Raw genomic sequence first — 6,427 nt, forward strand, 5'->3', positions numbered from 1 at the left:
AATGATGAACATTTATTAATGATAACTTTTTTTTTTTTCGCTGAGACGGAGATGCTCAGGCTGGAGTGCAATGGCGTGATCTCAGCTCACTGCAACCTCTGCCTCCTGAGTTCAAGCAATTCTCCTGTCTCAGCCTCCTGAGTAGCTGGGATTACAGGTGCCCACCACTACGCCTGGCTAGTTTTTAGTATTTTTAGTAGAGATGAGGTTTCACCATGTTGGCCAGGCTGGTCTTGAACTCCTGACCTCAGATGATCTGCCCGCCTCAGCCTCCCAAAGTGCTGGGATTACAGGCGTGAGCCACCATGCCTGCTGATAACTAATATTTAATGAGTCTTGGTCCATACCAGGCATCATGCTAAGGGTTTGACATCATGCTAAGGGTCATTCATTGCATTTAATGACCACAGTATATTGAAAAAAGTATCATTATTCTCATTTGACTGTTCAGGAAACTGAAGAAACAATGAGGTAGCAAGTGTCAGTGTCACAGTTCAATCCGAGGCTCATCTTAGATCAAGAGCTCAAGTTCTTGTTCATTATGCTAAATTACTTCCCTCACAGTGTAGTCAGTTAGGGGTAGAGCCCATAGTAGGCACCAGAACCCTGGCCAATTGCTTCCAAGTCAGTGAATCTGTGTGATACCATCTCTTAGCCTACCAAACCTTCAGCTGCACCCTCATAAGTGCACAGCCCATCTCAGAAAGAATATCTCCTTGGGGCAGAAGCAGCCACACTAGGTTCCTAATGACTCTTGACGGAGCTTTATGGCTGAGCTCTGCCTGTCAGCAGCCATACATCTATTTAGATATCCTCTTAATGTCGACATTTGTGCTCGTGGAGTTTTCCCATTGGTAAGAGCACTCTCCTTTGCCACCAAATGGTAAATGCTCTCTGAAATATCTGTAACATTTTCACATCTAATGGATGCATCTGAGGACATTGGTTAATAATATACATTGAATCCACAGACAATGGCTATTTCCTGTGATTTAGATGGGCACTTACTTGTGTGGTGTATGACACTCAAAGTGTTCTGTCAGCCCCCAAACAGAGCTTTTTGATTTCACATGTCAAAGATAACTGTTGATTCTGGCTCAGCAGTGTTCCATTTTCTGTCCAGTGTTTATGTGGAAGCAGTTGAAGACTTCAGGGAATTTATGTAGCATGCCAGCATTTTAGTTCATATGAGCGAAAATGTTGTTGCCCATCTTTGCTGCATGGACTATGTGTTTTATTAAATTTGCAATGATGGTTGAACATGCTGTGTTGCACAGAAGACAGAGTTTCCCCTAGAGAAGAGATCCTGTGCCTGATCGACAGGGCAGGTGACCACAAGGTCAAGGTTGCTTAGTGGTATCGGCCATCTGTTATCTTGGCAAGTATTTGACTGGAGGGCATTAATGTGTTTGTAATTTCCCACTTGATCTGAGAATAGGGTTAAAAAGACATTGTCGCCATTGGGAGCTGCAGAGCAGATTTGCACCAGCAGTCCACCTCCTGGCTTCCTACCCAGAATGGCACGGGCTGTGCTCAACTTTTATTTTTGGGTCCCCCTCCCTGACAAGTCATTGAGAGGGCAGCCCATTTTTGTCATGCTGCTTGTAGAGAAAAGCAAAAAGCAGCTCCCATCAGCGGGATTATAATAAACAGATTTTAAATCACTCTGAAAGGTCTTGATCACTACAAACCTTTCTAAAGTAAAACAGCCAACTCTTCAGTTTTGTTAGAAAGCAATGAAATCTCAATATCTATTTGGGTGTTCATTTCTCATTGCTCCATCTAGCTAGGAAGTCTGTGCTGAAACAGAGGATTTTGATTAAGCACTTAATATGCAAGGAGACATTTACCTATTGTCGAGCCTGCAATCTGGGTGAGAACAGAAGTTATAGCTCTAGAGCTTTTGTGGTAAACAGTCAAGTCATTTTCTTATACCTTCATCAATGTAAAATCTTCAACAAGTAAAACATTTCAGAGAAAGATCAGCTATAAAATGTCCTCACAGCCAAACTGAAAGCACAGGAGAGCCATACTGACTAACAGGAAACAAGATTTCAACATCATAATGAATGCATTGGTGTATCCTGCTAGCTATTGATCTACTGAGTTTAGGCAGCTCTTCCTTTTAAACTATAACAAGGAATAAAAGCAGATGGAGACGAAATTCTTAAGCAGACTATAAGTGAATCAAGAAAAATAACATATTTTCAGACTTGGTGTGCTTTAAAAAAGAATAAAGGCACCCAAAAAGATAGGAGGATTTATCAAGAAGACTCACTGCTGACGTTTAGCTTTTGGCTGGGAACTTCAACTCCCTAGAAATGTTAGTCTAGCAGAGGACCAACATGTGTAAGTTAAACTTTCAGAAGAAATCTAAAAACCTCAAAATATTATGAAGATAAATCCAAATCTCTCTCTCCTCATAATTTTTATCTACATCCAAATCATGACTGAAGACACTCAAGCAAATGTGTAGACCTTAAAACTGGCAATGCCTCTGCAAAGGATCTTTCGGCCCAGTTCAAAAGATAGTAGATTTTCTCATCTCAGAGAGATGGAGAGATTTGGGGATTCTGGTGGGATTTGGAGTGGGGGTGTCTGACTGTTTTGACCATTGTGGATAACACTGCTTTTGACTGATAACAAGAAAATCATTCCCCTAAATGCCTGCTTTCCTTATATTTCCTAAAATGTATTCAGATATGTAAGGAATCTCCTCTAAATTGTTTTGATAGACCCAAAACGGAATACTATAAAAGAATTAGCATTCACTTTACATGCCCAATATGAGAATAAACTAATGTAGACATACTGTCAACTAAACCTTCCACCTGGGAAGAAATGCTCTCTTCTGTTCTTACCATATCAGACTGGTGTTTTCTGAGCTCCAGAGAAGTTTTATAGACTTTTGTTATAGGCCTGGTAAGAAATAACTGACAAAGGTTAGAGAATCACCAAGTGATCAAAACCAAGTTGCTTTGCCTTTCTAAATATGTTTGCTTAATTACAGAGAAAATTTTTTTGCAATGAATTGTCTTAGTTTTCCTTCATCTGATTTTTGTTTTTTGTCTTTCATTCCTGAAGGATGCTTTCACTGATATAAAATTCTGAGTTGACAGTACTTATCTTTCATCACTTTAAAAAGGTTTTAAACTTCTTTCTGGCTTCCATTGTTTTTGAAAATAAATCTGCAGTCATTCAAATCATTGTTTTCCTATAAATGACACATTGTTTTTCAAGATTTTTTTCTTTGTCTTTAGTTTTCAGTCACTTAATTATGATATTTCTGGGCATGGATTTCTACCCTATTTGGGATTCACTGACCATTTTGAACCGTAGATTTAAGTCTTTCATCAAACTTGGGAAATTTTGAGATATTATTTTTTCAAATTATCTTAGTACTGTACCCTTTCTCCTCAGAGAGACAAACGTAAAAATTAACTTATTTTGACACAGATTCTGTGGGTTTTTCCAAACTTGTTTTAGCTCTTTGTTTTTCAGTGTGGATACTTCCTATTTTTTTATCTTCAGATTCACTTACTATTTCCTTGGTCATCTCCATTCTGCATTTAGCTCATCTTGTGAGATTTTACTTCCATTTGTTATATTTTTCAGTTGATTATTCCAATTAATTTTTCTTTTTATCATCTTTTTCTTTAAGGAGACTTTCTGTCTTCTCAGTTGTTTCCTGTGTGTTTGCACTTGCTTTTTAAAATATATTTATGCTTTAAATTCTTTATCAAATAATTCCAACATTTTTGTCATCTGGTCATTGCTATCTGATAACTATCTTTTCCCATGTAAGTTAAAATTTTTCTGGCTCTTTGTATATCAGGTAATTTTGGATTAAGTTATGGACATTTGAATATTAGGTATGAAGACTCTGAGCCTTGTTAAATATTACAGGGAATATTTATATTTTTGTTTAAGTGCATTAGGTTCAAGCTGCAAGTTACAATGTGGCTTCTGTGGGCTATGGCACCAATGCCACTTCAGGGTTCAAACCCTTTGCAGTGCTATTCTGATCTGCTCCACCTATTTGCCACGTAATGGCCATCCTAGGGTCCGAACAGCGGTCTATCCGTTAGTTAAGCTATCAAATTATTGAATGCACTTACTAGAATCAGTTCCATGGATGCACAGCTATGAGGCGAGTCCAGCAGTTCATAAAGATATTTATGAGATTACTTTCTCAAACTTCTTCTCCACAATCTCCCCCAATACTTTCTAATTCCCTGAAGTGCCCCTTTTTAGTTCCCCATCCAGATTCTGGGGCTTTGATAATCTCACTGTTGTGTACTTCTATAATTTTGTCTGTATCCAGGACTAAGTGGTGTGAGGACAGAAAGAGAGGAAAAAAACATGACAAAATGATGTTCAACCCAACCTCTTGAAACCATAGGTCCACAAAAGGAAGAGGAAAATATTTCCACCCAGGTTTTTGGCTCCTATGCGCTCCCCTTTCCACCACCTGTATTACTACTACAGGATTGCTTGGGAGGTGGCGTGTGAGAAATGAAGAAAATAATGAAGGAAGAAAAAGGGGGAAGTATATTCTCTCTCTGAGTGTTGGGAGTTCCCTTTCCCCCTCTTCCAGCTTTAAAGAGACAGTGCTTTTTTCATCTGTACTTCAATGCCCCTTTTGGGAATCAGATTACATTAGAACAGGTTGAGAGGAACCAGAAGAAAAAACCAGCACAATCACTGCTAGTTCAGTACTACTATGAATTCTTGTCTTTTCCCCCAATCTTCTATTTATTTTTCAGAGTCTTCAAATAGTTCCTGCAATAATTCTTTCCAGGTTTGATAGCTGTATTCAGTAGAGAGAGAGGATAGAATATGCTTACTTCACCTTATGTGGCACTGGAATCAGCTTACTAAACTTTAAAGTATTAGTAATAATAAGACAAGCCTCACATAAAGCTTTTAAAATACTTAATACAATTCTTGAAATTACAGTGTTAGTGCCATTAATTCAGCTTTACTATTACTACGAGAAAAAGAGAGGTTGCAACTATGCATTAGTGAATTGTAGAAATAGATACTTTGAGTGTTGTCCATGGAGTGAGTACTTGCATCAAGTTCACAGCAGCTTGTCTGTTCTTTAAGTTCACAAACTGACTTAAGGGAAACTTCATAGCTGCTGCTGTAAGTACTTTTAGCAGAGAACTCTACTAGATGATTATGGTTCATCATTTTTTTGTGTAATGAACTGACAAATGTTACTTTTAACAAATCTTTAATACACTATTTACTCTGTGTTTTAAAGGAAGGAAAAAAAGAATATCCAGTTCATTAAGAGAGAGGCTCAGAATATCAATCTATTTCTATTGTTTTATCTTCAGACTCACTTACTATGTCCTTGGTCATCTCCACTCTGCTATTTAGGTTAACCTTGTGAGATTTTACTTCCATTTGCTATATTTTTTCAGTTTATTATTCCAATTAATTCTTCTTTATATCATCTTTTTCTTTGAAAGATGAAGTATGAAAGAAATCACTCTGCAAAACTTTCACATTATTTACGTTCTACAAACATGCATATCTAATAAAATTTTAAGTTGTATCCCAGGGAAAGCAGGCTGCTGTGGGCCTCTAAGGACCATGGTCCACTTTAAGTAAGATTTAAGAAGAAGCTAAAGCAAAGGATTTGGGGTATCCAAAATATGAGATATTACTGGTAGCCTTCTAATTTTTTTCCTAAATGGGAAGGTGGGTCCAATTGGAAATATGTTCCCTGGTTCTATTGTTTGCCTTTTCTGGTACTTCTCTGCTATACTTCCTAGTTTATTAAAGATTATGTTGTCTGTTTTCTCACCTAACAACATGATAAATGATTTCTTACTGAAGTTTTGTCTGAAAACTATATTACCTGTCTTGTGGACAGGGAACTGTTAAAGAATAGGAAAGCTGAAAGGATGGTAGAATTTCAGGCATGGTGGGTGGCAAGAGAGAAAATTTCTTAGTCAAGGGCCATTCCGTCTTCTAAAATTAAGCCACATGTGTAAATCCTCCTTTATAATCATAAATGTCCTTCTTATGCCTTGATATTATCCTGGAAACACATTGATGTTAGCACTATCATTCAGAGAGCATGAAAAGGTCAATATTATGTAGCATCTGTATATGAAAGAGGAACTCAATTAACCATTTATTAATGTATTAGTGAATGAGGACAGCAATTCTTTAACAAACTGTAAATGGTAACTGTGGGTGTTCTTTATTTCCCAATGACTCTGTACTTTTTGTTCTGTGATGATAATATTCTGTTTCCAAAAGGGATGACTCAGTCTGAAACAATGTCTTCTTCCTTGCAGAATCAGATTGTTAATACTGAAAGAATGGGTTTCTTCACTTAGAAGTTTGCTATAACTCAGGTTTCCAAATGACAAAAGTGTTTAATGTTACCTATAAAATAATAATACTA

Source organism: Homo sapiens, chromosome 5, assembly GCF_000001405.40.
Source record: "Homo sapiens chromosome 5, GRCh38.p14 Primary Assembly".
NCBI classification, from domain to species: domain Eukaryota; kingdom Metazoa; phylum Chordata; class Mammalia; order Primates; family Hominidae; genus Homo; species Homo sapiens.